The following is a 19598-nucleotide window of genomic DNA, read 5'->3' on the forward strand; positions in this document are numbered from 1 at the left end:
AGACAAAAGATAGGAGATTATGGAATCATTTCAGGAGCTCCGAAGGTTGACTAATGATTGGAAGGACATTGGCTCCAGACTGAAGGAGTCAATCAAGTATCAGTGCAATACAGTCTCACAAACTAGGGTACATCATCATATTTACGAAGTCAAGACATCTCAAAAGCAATCCTGGGATGTGAGGAGTGACATGGAGGAAAGCAGTAAAGTGGCAAGCTCTGGGAATCTGTGCCTCCTGCTAAATGACTACGGAGCTGCCAGCCACTGTCTGAAGTCACTATTTGGGAACTGTGGAGTTGTCCAGGGGAGAGCTTGATGGTAAATTTTAGGAATTTCAGCCTATCACATGGTAGTGGCTACTTACTATTCCATGGCAGTGCCACTTGGCTAGAGCCAGGATAAGCAAGAAGGACCCTTGTCCGCCAAATATTGAGGTTGTGGGTTCTGATTGCTGATGGCTACCTGTGACCACTGAGGGGCCGGCACAAAGGACATTGTTTCAACCCTCAAGGGCTGAAGTGGCTTCCACGGGATTTAAAGAGACAGTATCCTTCTCTGGTCTGGGAGCCAAGCACTTAAGGAAATCTTTGTTGGGTCACTGGTTGACTGCAGAGATAAAAGAACAGAAACTTCAGTGACTACACACAACAAGGAATACATACTGTGCAAAAATACAAATTAAATTTGGAAAAATACATAGCTTAAAACTAAAAGCTTGGAAAAGTCACAAACAGATGGCTTCAGCCCTTAACAGGCAAGTTTCAGCAATCCTTGAGGAGTGGTAAGGTTAGATTTCCAGTCACCACAACGTAACACTCAAAATGTCCAGGTCTCAAAAAAATATTACAAAGCATACAAAGCAGCAGTTTTGCCACATTTACAGGAAATACAGACTATGACAGAAACCATTTCCAGGGACGTCTATATATTGGGATTACTAGTCAAAGGTGTGAAATCAAGATTTGTGTTAGGCATGTTCAATGAGCTTAAGGAAACCGACAGAGAACTAAAGGAAGTCAGGAAAATGTTGTGTGAACACAATGAGCACATGGTAAAGAGAAAGAAGTGGTAAAAAAAGGAACCAAAACTTGGAAGCAACCAAAATGTCCTTCAGTAGGTAAATGTATAAATAAAGTGTGGTATATTCAAACAATGGACTGTTATTCAATACTGAAAAATGAGCCATCAAGGCATTAACAGACATGCAGTAACCTCAAATGCATATTACTAAGTGAGAGAAACAAAGCTAAAAAGTCTACTGTATGATTTCAACTCCATGACATTCTGGAAAAGTCAAAAACTATGGAGACAATACAAAAATCAGTGATTCCCAGGGGTTGGAGGATGGGAGGGATGAGTAGGTGGAGCACAGAGGATTTTTAGGGCAGTGAAGCTACTCTGCAAGATACTCCGATGGTGGACACATGTCCGCATACATTTGTTCAAAGCCATGTACAACACTGAGAGTGAACCCTAATGTAAACGTCGGACTTTAAATGATAACGACGTGTCAGTGTAGGTTCACTGATTGTAACAAATGCACCATCTGGTTTAGGATGTTGCTAGTTGAGGAGGCTGTGCGGGGGGATGTGGACAGGGATGTGGGAACTCTCTGTACTTTTGCTGAATTTTTCTGTGAGCCTAAAAATGCTCTAAAAGTAGTCTTTTTTTTTTTTTTAAAGAACCATACAGAAGTTCTGGAATGAAAAAGTTCAAAAAGTGAAATACGAACCTTAATGGAAGGGAACTATCGCAAATTTAAGCAAGCAGAAGAGGCAATTGGCAAACTTAAAACAATTGAAATAATAGTCTGTGTAGCAAAAATGAAAAAAGATTGAGGAAAATTGAACAGAGCCAAATGTACTAATGTATGCTCATAGAAGTTACAGAAGGAGAAGGGACAAAATGGCAGAAAAAGTATTTGAAGGAATAATGGCCCCAAATTTCCCAAATCTGAGAAGACGTGAATATACTCATTCAGGAGTCTCAATAAATTTGATGCAGGAAAACCTCAAAGAAGCCCACACCAGGACATATTACAATAAAATCAAGGAAACCCAAGGCCAGAGAGAATTGTGAAAGCAGCAAGAGAGAAGCAACTTCTTGTGTACAAAGGATCATCAATACGGTAACAGCTGATTTCTCCTAAGAAACCATGGCAGCCAGAAGGTAGTGAAATGATATATTTAAAGTCCTCAAAGAAAACAGTAAGCTGTCAACCAGGAATTGTATATAATTTTAAATCACCTTTCAATAATGAAGGAGAAATTATGACTTTTCCAGATAAACAAAATCTGAGCAGTGCATTATCAGTAAACTTGCCCTACAAGAAATCCTAAAGTGAGTCTTTCATGCTGAAATAAAAGTACTCTAGACGGTACCTTGAAGACATAAGAAAAAGTGAAGTAAATATAAAGGTAACTAAATAAGTAACTATAAAAGCCAGAATTATTTTACATTTTGCATGGTTTGTAACTCCTATTTTTTTTCTATATGATTTAATAGGCAATGAGTTAAACAGTGATTGCAAACCTATGTTAGTGGTCATAGAGTGTACAAAGATGCAGTATGTGATAATCACAATATAAAGGGAAAGGCAGGGACATACAGGAGCAAAGCTCTTATGACCTACCGAAACTAAGTTGATATTATTCAAACTAGGACGTCATAAGTTTAAGATATTAATTGTAATCCCCAAGAAAATAACTAAAATATGTATAGAAAAAGAAAGAAAAAGGGACTCAAAGTGGCCCACTACAAAAAAAATGAACAAAATACAAAAATGAAGTAATTGAAGAAACAAAAACATGTAAGACATACATAAAACAAATATATAAATGGCTGAAGTAAATCTTTATCAGTGATCATATTAAATGTAAATGAACTAAACTCTGCTAGTAAAAAAAAAAATTGGCAGATTGGATTTAAAAACCCACAGGCTTCATGTATATTCAGTGTATAAGAGACTTACTTTAGATTAAAAAAAAATACAAAGCCAGAATTATTTTACTTTTTGCGTGGTTTGTAACTCCAATTTTTTCCTATATGATTTAATAGGCAATGAGTAAAATAGTGGTAAAATAGAAGTTGAAAGTAAAAGAATGGAAAAGGTATTTTATGCAAATAGAAAGCAAAAGAGAGCTGGGGCAGCTATACTGTTGTCAGACAAAGCAGACTTTAAATCACAAAAAAATTACAAAAGACAAAGAAGGACAATATATATTAATAAAGGGGATACAGCATAAAGATGTAACAATTATAAATGTATACACACCTAATGACAGGGTTCCAAAATATATGAAACAAAAATTGACAGAGTTGAAGGGAGTAATAGATAGTCCTACACTAATATTGGGATATTTCAGTACCTCACTTTCAATAATAAGACAGAACTACCAGACACATAAATAAGAAAATAGAGGACATCAAGAACACTATAAACCAATTAGACATCACAGACATATAGACAACGCTCAATGCAACAACAGCAGAATACACATTCTTTTCAAGTGCACATGGAACATTCTCCAGGATAGACCTTATGTTCAGCCACAAAACAAGGCTAAACTTTAAAATTTTTTAATTTTTTAAAATTAAAATTATTCAAAGTTTCTTTTCTGATCATAGTGGTATAAAACTACAGATCAATAACAGAAGGAAAATTGGAAAATTCACAAATATGTGTAAATTAAACAACACGCTCTTCAACAACAAATTGGTCGAAGAAGAAATGACAGGGGAAATTATAAAATATCTTGAGACAAATGAAAATGAAAATACAACATACCAAAAGTTATGAAATACAACAAAAGCAATGCAAAGAGGGAAATTCATGTAAATACATACACTGAAAAAGAAGAATCATAACCTGATCATAACTAAATCATAACCTAATTATATACCTTGAGGAAATAAAAATAGAACAAACCAAATCCAAAAATAGCAGAAGGAAAGAAATAATGAATACTAGAGCAGAGATCAATAACACAGAGAATGAAAAAACAATAGAGAAAATCAACAAAACCAAAAGCTCCTCTTTGAAAAGATCAACAAAATTGACAAACCTTTAGGTAGACTGACTATGAAAAAGAGAGATGACTCATATTATTAAAATCAGAAATGACATTAAGAACTTTATTACTTATTTTACAGAAATAAAAAGGATTATAAAAGAATACTATAAACAATGGTACACCAACAAATTGGATAACCTAGATAAAAATGGACATATTCTTAGAAATACACAATCTACCAAAACTGATGAATGAACAGAAAATTTGAATACTCCTATAACGAGATTGAATCAGTAATCAGAAACCTACCAGTGACAAGCTCAGGACAAGACTGCTTTACTAGTGAATTCTACCAAAACATTTAAAAAAGAATGAACACCAATTCTTCTGAAACTCTTCCCAAAAACCAAAGAGAAAAGAACACTTCCTAACTCATTCATGAAGTCAGCATTACACTAATACAAAATTACAATAAAGATGTCACAAGGAGAGAAAATTACACACGAATATGTCTTATGTATACAAATTGAACCCAATGGCACATGAAAAGTTTATTCACCATAACCAAGTGGGATTTATTTTTGGAGTGCAATGGTAGTTCCACACTAAAGGAATGAATAATAAAACTTAGTGGTCTTCTCAATTGATGCAGAAAAAGCACTTGACTAAATCCAACTTTTTTTAATGATAAAAACACTTGAGAAGCTAGGAATAGAAAGTAACTTTCCTATCATGATAAAGGCCATATTTGAGATCCCACATTCTCAATGGTGAAAGTGAAAGCTTTGCCCTAAGATCAGAACAAGGCCAGGATACACACATTTGCCACTTCTTTTCAACATAGCACCAGGAGAACTAGCCAGAGCACTTAGACAAGAAAAAGAAATAGAAGTATCCACAGTGGAAAGGAGAGCATAAGATTATCTCTGTTCACAGATAACCCGATCTTATATGTAGAAAACCCTAACAATTCCATTCAATGGGGAAAAGGACAGTCTCTTCCATAAATGATGCTGAAAAAATTGGATATTCACATGCAAGAGAATGAAATTGAATGCTTACCTAATGCCACATACAAAAATTAACTCAAAATGGACTAAGTGCTAAAACTATAAAACTTTTGGAAGAAAACATAGGGGAAAATCTCCATGCACTAAATTTGACAATGATATCTTGGATACAGCACCAAAGGCATAGGCAATGAAAGGAAAAAATTAGATAAATTGGACTTCATCAAAATTTAAAACTTTTGTGCACCAAAGGACACTATTGAGAGAGTGAAAAGACAACTCACAGAATGGGAGAAAATATCTTCAAATCATATACCTAATATGGGGTTAATATCCAGAATATATAAAGAACTCCTAAAACTCAACAACAAAAAACCAAACAACTCAAGTCAAAACTGAGCAAAAGGCTTGAATCAGCATTTCTCCAAATAAAACATTCAAGTGGTCAACAAGCACAAGAAAAGATGCTCAACATCATTAGTCATTAGGGAAATGCAAATTAAAACCACAATGAGATATCATTTCACACCCATTAGGATGGCTATTATTAAAAATGGAAAATAAGCAGCGTTAGAGATCTGAAGCAAGTGGATGTGAAGGCACTGCTCATGGGAATGTATAACAGAGCAACAGCTGTGGAAAAGTCTGGCAGATCCTCAAAAAGACAAACATAAAACTACCACAAGACCCAGTAATTCCACTCCTAAGCAAACATCCAAAAGAACTGAAACAGGGATGTGAACAGATACTTGTGCCCCAACATTCAGAACAGCATATTCACAACAGCCAAAGGTGGAAACAGCCCAATCGTTTATCAGCACATGAATGGACAAAGAAAATATGTTACAGGTACACAGGATACTATGATGTTATTAAAATGAATGGAATACTTATACATGCTACAATGTGGATAAACTTTGAAGATATTATGCTAAGTGAAATAAGACAGTCATAGAGAGACAAATATTGTACAATTTCCCTTACCTGAGGGAAGTAGAAGAGGCAAATTCACAGAGTTAGAGAGTAAAATAGAGGTTAGCACAGGCAGCCGTTATTGATTAATGGGGTACAGAATTTCTTTCTGGGGCCATAAAAAAGTTTTGGATATAGATAGTGGTGCTTGTGCATGTACGTAATGCCACTTCATTGAATATGTCATGATGATTAAAATGATAAAAGTTTCATTATATATATTTTACCAGCAAAAAGTGGAAGTAGAAAGCAGAAAGTAAGCAGAAAATGGAGCAATGCCTTAAAGTTTAGGATAGAAAGTTATTTTCAGTCTAGAACATTGTTATCTATCAAGTGCGAGGTAGAATAAAGACGTTCTCAGACATGCAAGATCTTGGAAGCTACTGGAGGGCTTGCTCCACTGAATCTGGGGAGTGGCCAAAAAAACCACGGGTAGAACAGGACCCCTGTCAGCAGAGAGGAAGATGGACATTCTCAGCATGATGGTGAAGGACTTCCCCAGTGACAGCTGCTTGAAGGTCTAGAGGGTACTCTATCCCAGCTAAAATGGAAGAAGGGTAAATGTCACCAGTGAAAATACAGAAGTGATAAGTGAGGATGTCTGACCAACTGACAGGGTGGATTTGTCCCAGAGCTGGAGATGAATTACCTGCATGGAAAACAGAGGAGTTACCAACTCCAGGGAAACAAAAGACATTACTGAGAAAAGAAAGGTAGGCCAGGTGTGGTGGCTCATGCCTGTTCTCCAATCACTTTGGGAGACCAAGGCAGGTGGATCATTTGAGGTCAGGAGTTCGAGACCAGCCTGGCCAATATGGTGAAACCCTGTCTTCACTGAAAATACAAAAATTAGCTGGGTGTGGTGGTGCATGCCTGTAATCTCAGCTACTTGAGAAGCTGAGGCAGGAGAATCACTTGAAACCAGGAGACAGAGGTTGCAGCGAGCTAAGATTGTGCCACTGCACTCCAGCCTGGGCCACAGAGTGAGACTCGGTCTCCCCCCCCAAAAAAAAAGAAAGAAAAAAAAAAGAAAGGAAAAGAAAGGTAATCATAGGACATGTACAGCAGCTCAGCTGTGGGCAATATTTATATTGTCATAAATAAATGAGCCATCTGAGTCAACAAATAAGGTGGAGATGTGGAATTATTCCTTCTGTAAAAGAGTTTACTCACTGTGAGAGCCATTAGACCATTGTCAGTGAGCAAAGGCAAAAACAGGCTTTCTAGGAGAGAGCAAGGAGAAGGGGAAGAACAAAACTGCAGAGGAGTTGACATTCTGGAGCAGAGCCGGCAGCCAGCAGGTCTATCTTGACTCCAACTGAAAACGCACCCCTCCTTCACCGGGGGCCGGGGGAGGGGAAGCTGCATGCATGCAGATAGTGACGTCCAAGTTAAGTTCTCACCTTAGAAAGTGGGGAATCAATCCAGAGCGTCTAAAATGGACAAGTCAAGGACCAGCAGGGGGAGTGGACCAGATTCTGAGCCACTTTGGGGATGAGCCTGGGGAAAGCCACAGGGCAGCCCTGCTTGGAACCCTGGGCTGTGAGTCATGGGGCTGGTACTCCTTGCTGTGTGACCTTGGGCACGACTTCTGCTCTTGGACACCCAGCGTCCTCCCCTGTAAGATGAGGATGCTGTTGCTTACTCACAGAATCACTGTGAGCAGCATATGCATGGCAGGTGCCTAGTATGGTATTGAGCACGTTAGTAAAGACAACCCCCTGAGCTGCTGCCCTTATTAATATTGCCATTTCTTATGATAAGGAGTGCTGTGCTGGACAAGGCCTACACCTGGATCGAGACAACAAAAATTTTAGGGGCCAATTCCTGTTGGCGTGAGCCAACTCCCTCTTTTCCTCCTTGGTGGGGAGGTGTCTGTGCAGGAGTGAAGGAGCAGGGTTGGGGCGATGGGTGGGCTCCTCATTCTTGCCCTTTACAATTTCACCAAGAAAACCTGTAGATGTGACTGAAAGAGAAGGAACAGTAAAAGCTTGGCAGATAGGAGGAATTTCTTATCAAGTTTTGTTTTTGTTTTTGTTTTTGTTTTTTTGGTTTTTTCGAGACGGAGTCTGGCACTGCCACCCAGGCTGGAGTGCAGTGGCACCATCTCGGCTCACTGCAAGCTCCACCTCCTGGGTTCACGTCATTCTCCTGCCTCAGCCTCCAGAGTAGCTGGCACTACAGGTGCCCACCACCACGCCTGGCTAATTTTTTTGTATTTTTAGTAGAGACAGGGTTTCACCGTGTTAGCCAGGATGGTCTCGATCTCCTGACCTCCTGATCCACCCGCCTCGGCCTCCCAAAGTGCTGGGATTACAGGCGTGAGCCACAGAGCCCGGCCTTTCTCATCCAGTCTTTCAAGCAAACACTGACTGCAAACTTGGGCTGGGGGCTATGAGTTGAGCTCACCAGTGGGGTAGGGGCAGGAGAGGATTCCAGCGTGCAGAGATAGGGTGTGTGCCCCGATAAGGCTGCAGCCTGAGACCTGAGGGATGTGCATGGGAATGGATGGTGACCTTACAACCTGGCTTCTGCTAACTGGGAAGGAGAAGGAGGAAGAAATGGAGGAGGAAAAGAAGGATGAGGAAGAGGAGGCAGAAGAGGAGAAGAAGGGAAAAAGAAGAGAGATGAGGAAGACAGGGAAGAGAAGGAGAGAAGGAAGGAGGAGGAGGAAAAGATGGCTTTTGGTTTCTGTGAGCTGTATATGCTTTTTCCCCGGGCTATTTTGAAATACTGAAAATGGCTCTAAGACCCCCCTGCCTGCTCCCACCTCCACTCAGAATGAACCTTCAGAGATGTTCAAGGTTGAGAGTCCACCATCTCCATGCCTTTTTTTTTTTTTTTTTTTTTTGAGATGGAGTTTCACTCTTGTTCCCCAGGCTGGAGTGCAGTGGTGAGATCTCGGCTCACTGCAACCTCTGCCTTCCGAGTTCAAGCAATTCTTCTGCCTCAGCCTCCCAAGTAGCTGGGATTACAGGTGTGTGCCCCTACACCCGGCTAATTTTTGTATTTTTAGTAGATGAGGTTTCTCCATGTTGGTCAGGCTGATCTCGAACCCCTGACCTCAGGTGATCTGCCTGCCTCAGCCTCCCAAAGTGCTGGGATTACAGGCGTGAGCCACCACGCCCGGCCTCCCATGCTGGTTCTAAAGGAAGAAGAACTTAGTTAGGTCCTGGGAAAACTGGTCAAGTCACCTTCTCAGTTTTCTGTTTGTGAAATGGGGACAGCCACTTCTACCCATCATAATTTTCACCTCCTGCCAGCTCATGTTGAAAACGGATTCGCCATGGTTCAGTGACCCAGAGTGTGCCGGAGTGAAGTGCCCGTGGTGGGGAAAGCACGGCTGAGTCATCTTGGGAAGGACTCTGGCTGTGCACAACCTCAGTTTTCCTGACCTGTAAAATGGACACTCTAGACTTTCTTTTGTAGATCTTCTCAAGGGTGTGTACATGACAAGCATGTAACTGGCCCAAGACATGGCTGCTGCTACTGGTATAATAACTACCAGTAGTGATATAAATAGTATGAAATATAATGGGTTAATAGTTATCATTTTATAATAATTTATAATAATGTAAAATAATTTTAATATTAGTGATAATTAACATTTTCTTTTGTAGAGACAGGGTCTTGCTCTGTCTCTACAAAATTACAGTGGTGCAATCATAGCTCACTGCAGCCTTGAACTCCTGGGTTCAAGTGATTCTTTCCCCTCAGCTTCCCAATTAGCTAAGACAACAGCTGTGAGCCCCTGTGCCCAGCCAATGATAATCATTAATAATGATAGTAGCATCAAATTAGTGCTCTGGGCTGGGGGAACTACCCCCAGAACCTGAACTCCCAGAACCCACTGCTGGGTGACATTTCTTGTTGGTAATGTGACATTTCAGGGTATAGCCATTCTGCCTCCCCGTACTGTCTCATTTGTCTCTGAATCCAGTGCCTTCCAAGATAGCAGGCACACAGCAGGTGCTGGATAAATGCTAATCAGTAGCTGGATATAGTTGTACTCAGTAAAGACTTGCGGAAGGAAAAGCAAGCCGCATTCTTGCACTGTGCTGATAGACAGCTGGGCAGGGATCATACTGAGTTTCAGCAGCAGCTCCCTCCCTGCCTGCATCTCCTCCATCCAGGGAGGATGCAGGGAGAGGTGGCCTGGTGGGGAAAGGTGAAAGTCCTGGGTGTTGCTTTCAACACTTGGGAGAGAGGATTCTTGGCACAAAGTGACTGGGCCAGAAACGAGCACAGGAAATAATTTCCCTCAGATCGAAAAGCAACCCGCTAAAATATTTAAATGTGAAAAGAATAAAAACATGTAAATTTAATAGAGAAGAAACCATTTCATAATTTTTTTACATCATCAAAGTGTGAAAGGTCTTTCTAACTATGACCCAAAATCTCTAAAAGAAAAGACGCATAACATAGAATCCACAAAACAACAGGCAAACAAAAAAACTTTTTTATGGCTGGATGCGGCGGCTCATGCTTGTAATCCCAGCACTTTGGAGCCCGAGGTGGGTGGATCACCTGAGGTCAGGAGTTCGAGATCAGTTTGACCAATATGAGGAAACCTTGTCTTTACTAGAAATACAAAAATTAGCTGGGCATGGTGGTGTGCGCCTGTAATCCCAGCTACTCAGGAGGCTGAGGCAGGAGAATCTCTCGAACCCAGTTGGGGGAAGTTGCAGTGAGCCGAGATTGCACCACTGCACTCCAGCCTACGCAACAGAGTGAGACTCCATCTCAAAAAAAAAAACACCAAAAAAACAAAAACAAAAAACGACAACAACAAAAACCCCAAAACTTCTCTATGACAACAAACACCCAATTCCAAAGACATATGAAAAACAGGCACAAAACCTTTGCAACTCAGATCTAAAGAATAAGCAGAAAAATAAAGAGCTACCCATGAGAAAAATGGGCAAAGGTCATGAATAGACAGTTCACAGTCAGGGAAATACAACATAAGGATGCTTGGTCTCATTCAAAAGAGACAGGCAAATTCAAACTACACTGATACCATATTCATGCTGAGATTGTTAAAACTCCAAAAGTTTAGTAAAACCTTCTATTGGCAGAGCCTGTGGGGAGAGTGGCATTCTTATTCATTGTGGAAGGAGAGTAAATAGAAATAACCCCCATGGAGGGTAATTTGGCAACATTTGTCAAAATTACTGATGGATTTACCCACTGACCCAGTGATTAAACTTTGAAATTTATCCCGAAGTGTGAAATGATAAATTTATTACAGCAACATTTTTTTTTTTAGTATATGTGCTGCCGAAGTGAGCACAACATTTGGTTTTTTTTGTTTTTTCTTTTTCTTTTTTCTTTTTTTTTTTTTTTTTGAGATGGAGTCTCACTCTGTCTCCCAGGCTGGAGTGCAGTGGTGCGATCTCGGCTCACTGAAACTTCTGCCTCCTGGGTTCAAGCGATTCTCTTGCCTCAGCCTTCCGAGTAGCTGGGATTACAGGCACTCGCCAGCATGCCTGGCTAATTTTTGTATTTTTAGTAGAGATGGGGTTTCACCATGTTGGCCAGGCTGATCTGGAACTCCTGACTTCAGGTTATCTGCCCACCTCAGACTTTCAAAGTGCTGGGATTACAGGTGTGAGCCACCACGCCTGGCCAATTGCAGCAACATTTGTAATAGCAGAAGATTAAAAGTAACCCAACATCCATCAGCAGGGAATTGACTGAGTAAATTACAGTACATTTATACACTAGATTGTTCTGTAGCTATCAACAAAAGTAATGAGGAAGCTCTCTGTATGTTGCTGTGGAAAGAACAGCAAGGCATATTAACTAAAAAACAAAAATAAAAACAAAACAAGGTATATAACGGCATGGCTCATAGGCCCTGTTTTTGTTTTGGAGGTTATTTTTGAAAAAAGGGGGAAATTCTAATCATATTTGTAAATGGTCATGTATACATTAAAAAATTGTGTTAAAAATAAGAAACCAGGCCGGGCGCAGTGGCTCACACCTGTAATCCCAGCACTTTGGGAGGCCGAGGCTGGCGGATCACGAGGTCAGGCTAACCTGACCTAACATAGTGAAACCCCGTCTCTACTAAAAATATATAAAAAAAAAATTAGCCGGGCATGGTGGTGGGTGCCTGTAGTCCCAGCTATTCAGGAGGCTGAGGCAGGAGAATGGCGTGAACCCAGGAGGCGGGGCTTGCAGTGAGTGGGGATCACGCCACTGCACTCCAGCCTGGGCGACAGAGTGAGACTCCGTCTCAAAAAAAAAAAAAAAAAAAAAGAAAGAAAGAAAAAAAAAAGAAACCAAACACACTATTTTAAGGAAAATATTTAAGAAAAAATTTAATAAAAGAAATGCAAGAAGGCCAGGCATGGTGGCTCACGCCTGTAATCCCAGCACTTTGGGATGCCGAGGTGGGTGGATCACGAGATCAGGAGATTGAGACCATCCTGGCTAACACGGTGAAACCGCATCTCTACTAAAAAAAAATACAAAAAATTAGCCGGGTGTGGTGGCGGATGCCTGTAGTTCCAGCTACTCGGGATGCTGAGGCAGGAAAATGGCATGAACCCGGGAGGCGGAGCTCGCAGTGAGCCGAGATCGCACCACTGCACTCCAGCCTGGGCGACAAGAGCGAAACCCTGTCTCAAAAAAAAAAAAAAAGAAAAAAGAAAGGAAAAGAAATGCAAGACATACATGAAAACTAAAAAACATTGCTGAAGGAAATTAAGGATTTAAATAAATGGAAAGCCATCCCATGCTCATGGATTGAAAGAAAACAAAGCATAGTTGGAAGACTCATGTTTCCCTACTTCAAAACTTATTGCAAGGCAATGCTAATTAAGATAGGGTGGTACTGGCATCAGACAGGCATAAATCAACAGAATATAATTGAGAGCCCAAAAATAAAGCCTAACAGTTATGATCAATGGATTTTCAACAAGGATACCCAGACTATTCAATGGGAGAAAGAATAGTGTTTTCAAAAATGATGCTGGGTCAACTGGGTATTCACATACAAAAGAATGAATTTGGACCATTATCTCACACCACACACAAACATTAACTCAAAGTAGATCATAGACTTACATGTAAGAGCTAAAACCACAGAACTCATAGAAGAAAACATAGAAGTAAATCTTCATGATTTGAGGCTAGGCAGTGACACCAAATGTGCGTGTGATAGAAGAGAAGATTGATCAAAATTGGACTTAATCAAATGAAAAACTTTTGTGTTCCAAAGCAAATCATGAAGAAAGTAAAAAGACAATTCACTAACTTGGAGAAAATAGGTTCAAATATTATACCTGAAAAGGAGCTTGTATCCAAAATATATAAAGAATGCTTATAACAGAATAATGAAAAGGCAACCCAATTTTTATATGGGCTAAATATTTCAATAGGCATTTTCCCCAAAAAAACCATATAAATGGCTAAAGAAGCACATGAAAAGATGCTTAACATCATTTGTCACTAGGGAAATGCAAATCCAAACCACAGTGAGATACCACCTCACACCCCTTGGGATGGCTAGAATGAGAAAGACAGTCAATGACAAATGTCGGTGAAGATGTGGAGAAATTGGAACCCTCATGCATGAAGTGAATTATAAAATAGTGCAGCTGCTTTGGAAAGCATTTTGCAGTTCCTTAAAATGTTAAACATAGAATTTATCATATGACCCAGCAATTCCACTTGTAGGTATCTATCTACTTAAGAGAAATGAAGACATGTTCACCCAAAACTTGAATCCAAAAGTTCATAGAAGCTTTCTTAATAATCACAGTGACAAAAAAAGTAGAAACAACCCAAATGTCCATCCACCGATGACTGGAAAAGCCACATGACATATCCATAAAGTGGAATGTTACTTGGCCACAAAACTGAAGCAAGTACTGATACCTGCTACAACATGGACGGCCCTTGAAAACATTATGCCAAGTGGAAGCAGCTAGTCACAATACATCACATATGATTCCATTTATGGAAAATGTCCAAAACAGGCAAATCTATAGAGACAGAGAGTAGATTAGCCTGGGGCTAGGGAGGAATGAAGACTGACAAAGTTTCTTTTTGGGGTCATCAAAATCTTCCAAAATTAGCTTATGGTGATGGTTGCACAACTCTGTAAATATACTAAAAACACAGACTTGTATGCTTTACACAGGTGAATTTCATGGCATGTAAGTTATATGTAAATAAAGCTGCTTATTCTAGGGGAGGTGGGAACTGGGCAGATGGAGGACAAGGAGGAAGAAAAGACTTTCTATTATATATCTTTCAATACTTTCTGGGTTTCAAACCATCTGACTATACTATCTATTCAAAGGCAAATCTAAAATCAAAGGATCAAACAAAATTAAAGGCAGACCCGATTCTCCCCACTTTTGGGTTGGGGAGCAAAGAGGGAGAAAGCCACCACCCGCCGCATATCACCGTGAAGGGTTGGTTGAGTGGAAGGTGGGCAGGACGTTCTATGTGACAAGGGCAGCCTTGGAGATGTTCCAAGACCCATTCATTGCCTGGACCAAAGCCACCAAAAGCCACTGGACCTGACAGAGAGACAGTGCCTGACTGACCAGACAGCAGATGCCAAGCTGACCAGAGGGCCTGTCCCCGCCCCCTCCTCTACCACCATGTGGACCTACATAAAATCCCAGAACCATCATCAAGTGCCAAAGGAGGGCAGGAAAACCCCATGACTGACACCAGCCAGGCAGAATAGAAGCTTGAGAGAGAAGCTTCGTTGATGGAAAGGGAAGAAAGGGAACACCTCTCTGACACTAGCTGTGTGGGCTGGGCTCAGACTCTGGGCCGCCACAAATTTGGATGCAGGATGGAGACTCTCTCCTGCACCCCGAGACCAGAGAGCAGCCAAGGAGGGTGATTCTCAGAGCCCTCTGCTTGTGCCTCCTCACGGGCTTGGCCGGTTAACAGGTGCTGCACCAAGAAAGAGCTCTGTGGTCGGATTAGTTTGAAAAACACTGGGTTAAAGAAAGTCAAGGCAGTTTTTTAACCGCAGGGCTTCTCAGAGCCTTTCCTCATGACTCCCCAAGAGGGGGTCTGGTAGTTTCATCAAAGCACTTTTGTGTGTTTGAGGGATGTCTGGTAGGAAAGACAGTCTTCTTCATTTTACACTGAGGGGAAGCGGCTCAGCCAAGGTCCCAGAGTGGGCCAGTGGACAACCGGCCAGGGCTGATTCGGCAGCACCAGACAGCTTCTGCCACTGCCAGGTCACAGTTCTAGCTGGGTCCTGACTCGTGGCCCCAGAGCACTGGGCAATTTCATCCTGTGTTAAGGCAGCCTCTGGTCACTGCCTTGTCCAAGTCTCTCAGAAACTTTACATATTTGAGCCCCTGGCTGTGTAGATTCTGGGGACTTGGTGGCTGGACACAAAAAAGGACTGAAGAACAAATTTGCTCCCTGCCTGAGGTGTGGGACAGAGCAGCAGGCAGAGGCTGTGAATCTAGGCTGTGCCCCGGGTCCATCTGGCCATGGGTTCTGTCTGCACTAAAGGACCTGGGGCCCTTTCATAAAACCTTAGAAACCCACCCTGATGAAAATGCTATACGGGCCGGGTGCCGTGGCTCATGCCTGTAATCCCAATACTTTGGGAGGCTGAGGCAGGTGGATCACCTGAGGTCAGGAGTTTGAGATCAGCCTGGCCAACGTGGCGAAAGCCTATCTCTACTAAAAATACAAAAAATTAGCCGGGCGTGGTGGTGGGCACCTATAATCTCAGCCACTCGGGAGGCTGAGGCAGGAGAATGGCTTGAACCCGGGAGGCGGAGGTTGCAGAAAGCCGAGATCATGCCATTGCACTCCAACCTGGGTGACAGAGCAAGACTCTGTCTCAAAAAACAAAAACAAAAACAAAACAACAAAACAAAAAAAAAGAAAGCTATAGGATAAATATAAATATAAATATATAACAGAAAAAATGGGTGGAAACTGTTATAGATTAAAACATAGCCAAAAGTCTAATGTGGGACAGGCTGATTTGAACAAGTCAACTGAGAAAGACATTGGTGAGACAGTTGGTACAGTTTGAACCCTGGCGGGCTATGTGATGATGTTCAGGAATTGTTGTTTCAGCAGGGGTGAAGGTATGATGCTTAGTTTTTTGTTTTGTTTTTAGGGTTTGTGTTCTTAAGGAATAAATCCTGTGGTCTCCACAACTCAAACAATCTGGTATTTGAGATTAGCATTAAAATGGTCCAGCGGGCATGTAAGGGGGAAAATGGGGGCTGTGCAGGGGCCATGGTGACAAAGGGAATTCCTGCCGGTGTGGCCAACCCTGCAACCTCAGTGGCTTCTGTCACGGAAGGCAAGCCCCACATCCCAGAGGCATCCAGACTCGGGGCTCTCCATGTGCAGGAGCTTGGGGAGGCTGGGACTGCCCCAGTGTGTGGATCTGCTGTGGGCTTTGCACCTGCTGGACCTTGCAACCCCCACGGCACTCAGGCCCAACCCTCCTCACACCTCCCACCTGCCCTCCTGCCCTCCTGCCCGGCTACTCACAGCGCTCCTCCTGGTCCACACGGCTCCGGCCACCTCGCCTGCTCCGGCCCAGGCCACTCATTACTCAGGATGCTTATTACTAGTCTTAGATTTGATTAGTGCTTGGGCTGCACTTCCTGGGTTTTCCCCTCAACCTGTTGGATGTAAATCAGCCACACCCACTCCCGCCCCCATGCCTGTGCATTGGGTCTCAGGAGCCCAGGTGGGTGGCTGCGGCCCAGGCTCCTGGCGTCCCATGGGGTACACACAGAGCAGTGGAAGGCCTGCCGGGCCTTGCGATGAGGTATTGACTATGGGATGGCCCAGGCTCTTCTAGATCTGGCCTTGGCCATCCCTTGGTCCTCATCTCCTGCCCGCCGGCACACACCCCAAGCCAGGCCAGCTCTCCACCCTCCCAGCATCACTCAGGCCTTTCCCTCTTCCTGGGTATACTTATTCTATTCATTGCCTGGTCGGCTCCTCCTGCTCTTCCTTCAAGGCTCCATTGAGGTGTCACCTCCTCCAGGAAGCCATCCCTGACTGTCCCAGCCTGTCAGGTGGTACTCATTCTCTGTATCTCCTTGACCCTCTCCAACACCTAGCAGAGCACTGGAGAGGCTGAACCCCAGGACCGGACAGCCTGCGTTTGAATCTTGACTCTGCTGCATACTAGCAGAAGGCCTTGGTGGCAATTTATGGAACTCTTCTGTGCCTCCATGTTCTCTGTGTAAAACAAGGATGAGGTCGGGCATGGTGGCTCACGCCTGTAATCCTAGCACTTTGGGAGGCCGAGGCAGGTGGATTGTCTGAGCTCAGGAGTTCGAGACCATCCTGGGCAACACGGTGAAACCCCATCTCTACTAAAAAAAAATACAAAAAATTAGCCGGGTGTGGTGGCGCGTGCCTGTAGTCCCATCTATTTGGGAGGCTGTGGCAGGAGAATGAACCTGGGAGTCAGAGGTTGTAGTGAGCCGAGATCGTGCCATTGCACTCCAGCCTGGGCAACAGAGATGCCATCTCAAAAAAAAAAAAAAAAAAAAGGATGAGAACATTGCCCGCCTCACAGGCGGTTATGAGCATGAAATGAGGGAGGGAGCACAGTTACATTCTTAGAGCAGGTTCTTGGCACACAGTAAGTCCTCAATAAAGGCCGTGGAGGAGGAACATTACAGCCCGTATTGCACTGCATGGCGACTGCACTCCTGTGTCTTCCCCATCGTCTGAAACCTCCCAGGGGATGGGAGGCCCAGCAACAGCCAAAGGCGGAGTGAGAGGAACGTAAAAGCCAAAGAAAGCCCATGGGCCCTTAGGAAGAAACTGAAGGACGAGGAGGACATGGAGAGGTGGAGAGGAAGGAGGGAGGCTGCAGGAAGCAGCTGGAGCAGGGTGATGGTGCACAGAGCAGGAGAGGAGATGCAGACGGTCAGCAAACACAGGAAAATGTCCAGTCTCCCAAAAATCAGAAAAACAACTGAACAATGAAAAACTAACTTTCAGCCATCAGGTTGCAAAGTTTTAAAGTTGGTAACATCAAGGGCAGGGGGGTGATCTACAGAAGCATGAACTCAGGGCCCACTGGAGGGAGGGAGCTGGCAGCAGCGTTCTGGAGAGTAACCAGCCAGGGTCAGTTAAATGCACAACACACACCTAACCCACCCCCCAGAAATTCTCCTCCTCCGTGAGCCTCCTCATGACAGCGAGAAACGGGAAACAATGTAAATGTCCATGCAGCAGAGGATGCCTGAATAAGCAGGGTGCACAGGCCAGAGCCAGGAATCTATTGCACAGTTAAAAGAATGAGAAATCTCGAAGCTTTCAGGACAGACGCTGAGTAAATAAAAGTAGCTTATAGCATGAGCCTTACAGCATGATGCCTTTTAGTAAAACAAAACCAAAAGCAAACAACATGCACACACACACACACACAGTACAGCGCTGTGTTGTCTGTGATCACGCACACATGACTGTGAAGCATAAGAAGTCTGCAAAGACATGCATGACGAAACTGGCTCTCGCCGGGTGGGGCAAGAGGGAACCAGGACTGGGGGTGACCGTCAAAGGGGACTTTAGCCCTATTTGTAGGGCTAAACATTTTACATTTAGGGCTTTTACATTTGTAGGGGTTTTACATTTAATTACTTGTTTACATTTAATTACTTGTGTCAATGAACAGTGACAAAACCATAGCTGGGCTCTGGCAGTGGATTTCTAAGAGAGAGGTAAGAAAGAGATCCCATTGCCAGGAACTTTCTGCCTGTTGAAATGGGCAAGCCCAAAGTCACTACAGGATGCCCTCACTGAGTCCCCCCTCACCTCCTGTTTGCATACCCCCAGGGTCAGGGCTCTCACCACCTCACGGAGCAGCTGGCTCCCTGGGGGGTAGCTCTGATGGTTAGAAAGCTCAGCTCTAGCCTGGGCAACATAGCGACCCTGTCTCTATAATTTTTTTTTTTTTGAGACCGAGTCTCACTCTGTTGCCCAGGCTGGAGTGTGGTGGCGTGATCTCAGCTCACTACAACCTCCACCTCCTGGGTTCAAGCGATTCTCGTGCCTCAGCCTCCTGAGTAGCTGGGACTAGAGGAGTGAGCCACCACTCCCGGCTAATTTTTGTATTTTTATTGGAGACAGGGTTTCACCATGTTGTCCAGGCTGGTCTCGAACTCCTGACCTCAAGTGATCTACCCGTCTTGGCCTCCCAAAGTGCTGGGATTACAGGCGTTAGCCACTGCACCCAGCCTAATTTTTTTTTTAATTAGCTGGGTGTGGTGGTGTGCACCCGTAGTCCTAGCAACTTGGGAGGCTGGAGGATTGCAACACTGGGCTGGAGCTCAGGAGTTCAAGGCTACAGTGAGCTATGATCACACCACTGCACTCCAGCCTGGGCTACAGAATGAGAACCTGTCGCAAAAAAAGGAGGAGGAGGAAGAAGAAGGAGAAGGAGAAAGAGGAGAAGGAAGGAGAAGAAGGAAAGACAGCAAGTTCAGCTTTGTCCAGTGAGCAGACTGTGCTTCCAGACTGTGCTTCCATGGGACTGAATGCTGCTCTCTGCAGCCACACACATTGTCCTGGAGTTTTAAAGCCAATACCTGTTATGCCTGAAATGAAAAACAAACAAAAT

At 43.1% G+C, this 19598-nt stretch overlaps 1 protein-coding gene across 1 annotated transcript in view, besides 3 other annotated features; it reads right to left on the reverse strand.

Annotated features, from left to right (window-relative positions):
• Window positions 1-16605, reverse strand: part of TNFRSF13B (TNF receptor superfamily member 13B) — a 33038-nt gene extending 16433 nt beyond the window's left edge. The window contains exon 1 of the mRNA NM_012452.3: window positions 16502-16605. Coding sequence (NP_036584.1) covers window positions 16502-16562 — 61 coding nt within the window. The 5' untranslated portion in view covers window positions 16563-16605. The remainder of the gene's footprint in view (window positions 1-16501) is intronic.
• Window positions 9050-9319: an enhancer, noted in NCBI's record as "active region_11774". NCBI's record gives its function as "activates an Ori minimal core promoter by ATAC-STARR-seq in GM12878 lymphoblastoid cells {active_cell/tissue: GM12878}" and the evidence as "EXISTENCE:reporter gene assay evidence [ECO:0000049][PMID:35858748]".
• Window positions 18037-18206: an enhancer, noted in NCBI's record as "active region_11775". NCBI's record gives its function as "activates an Ori minimal core promoter by ATAC-STARR-seq in GM12878 lymphoblastoid cells {active_cell/tissue: GM12878}" and the evidence as "EXISTENCE:reporter gene assay evidence [ECO:0000049][PMID:35858748]".
• Window positions 18277-18326: an enhancer, noted in NCBI's record as "active region_11776". NCBI's record gives its function as "activates an Ori minimal core promoter by ATAC-STARR-seq in GM12878 lymphoblastoid cells {active_cell/tissue: GM12878}" and the evidence as "EXISTENCE:reporter gene assay evidence [ECO:0000049][PMID:35858748]".

This window comes from Homo sapiens, chromosome 17, assembly GCF_000001405.40.
Source record: "Homo sapiens chromosome 17, GRCh38.p14 Primary Assembly".
Classification (NCBI taxonomy): domain Eukaryota; kingdom Metazoa; phylum Chordata; class Mammalia; order Primates; family Hominidae; genus Homo; species Homo sapiens.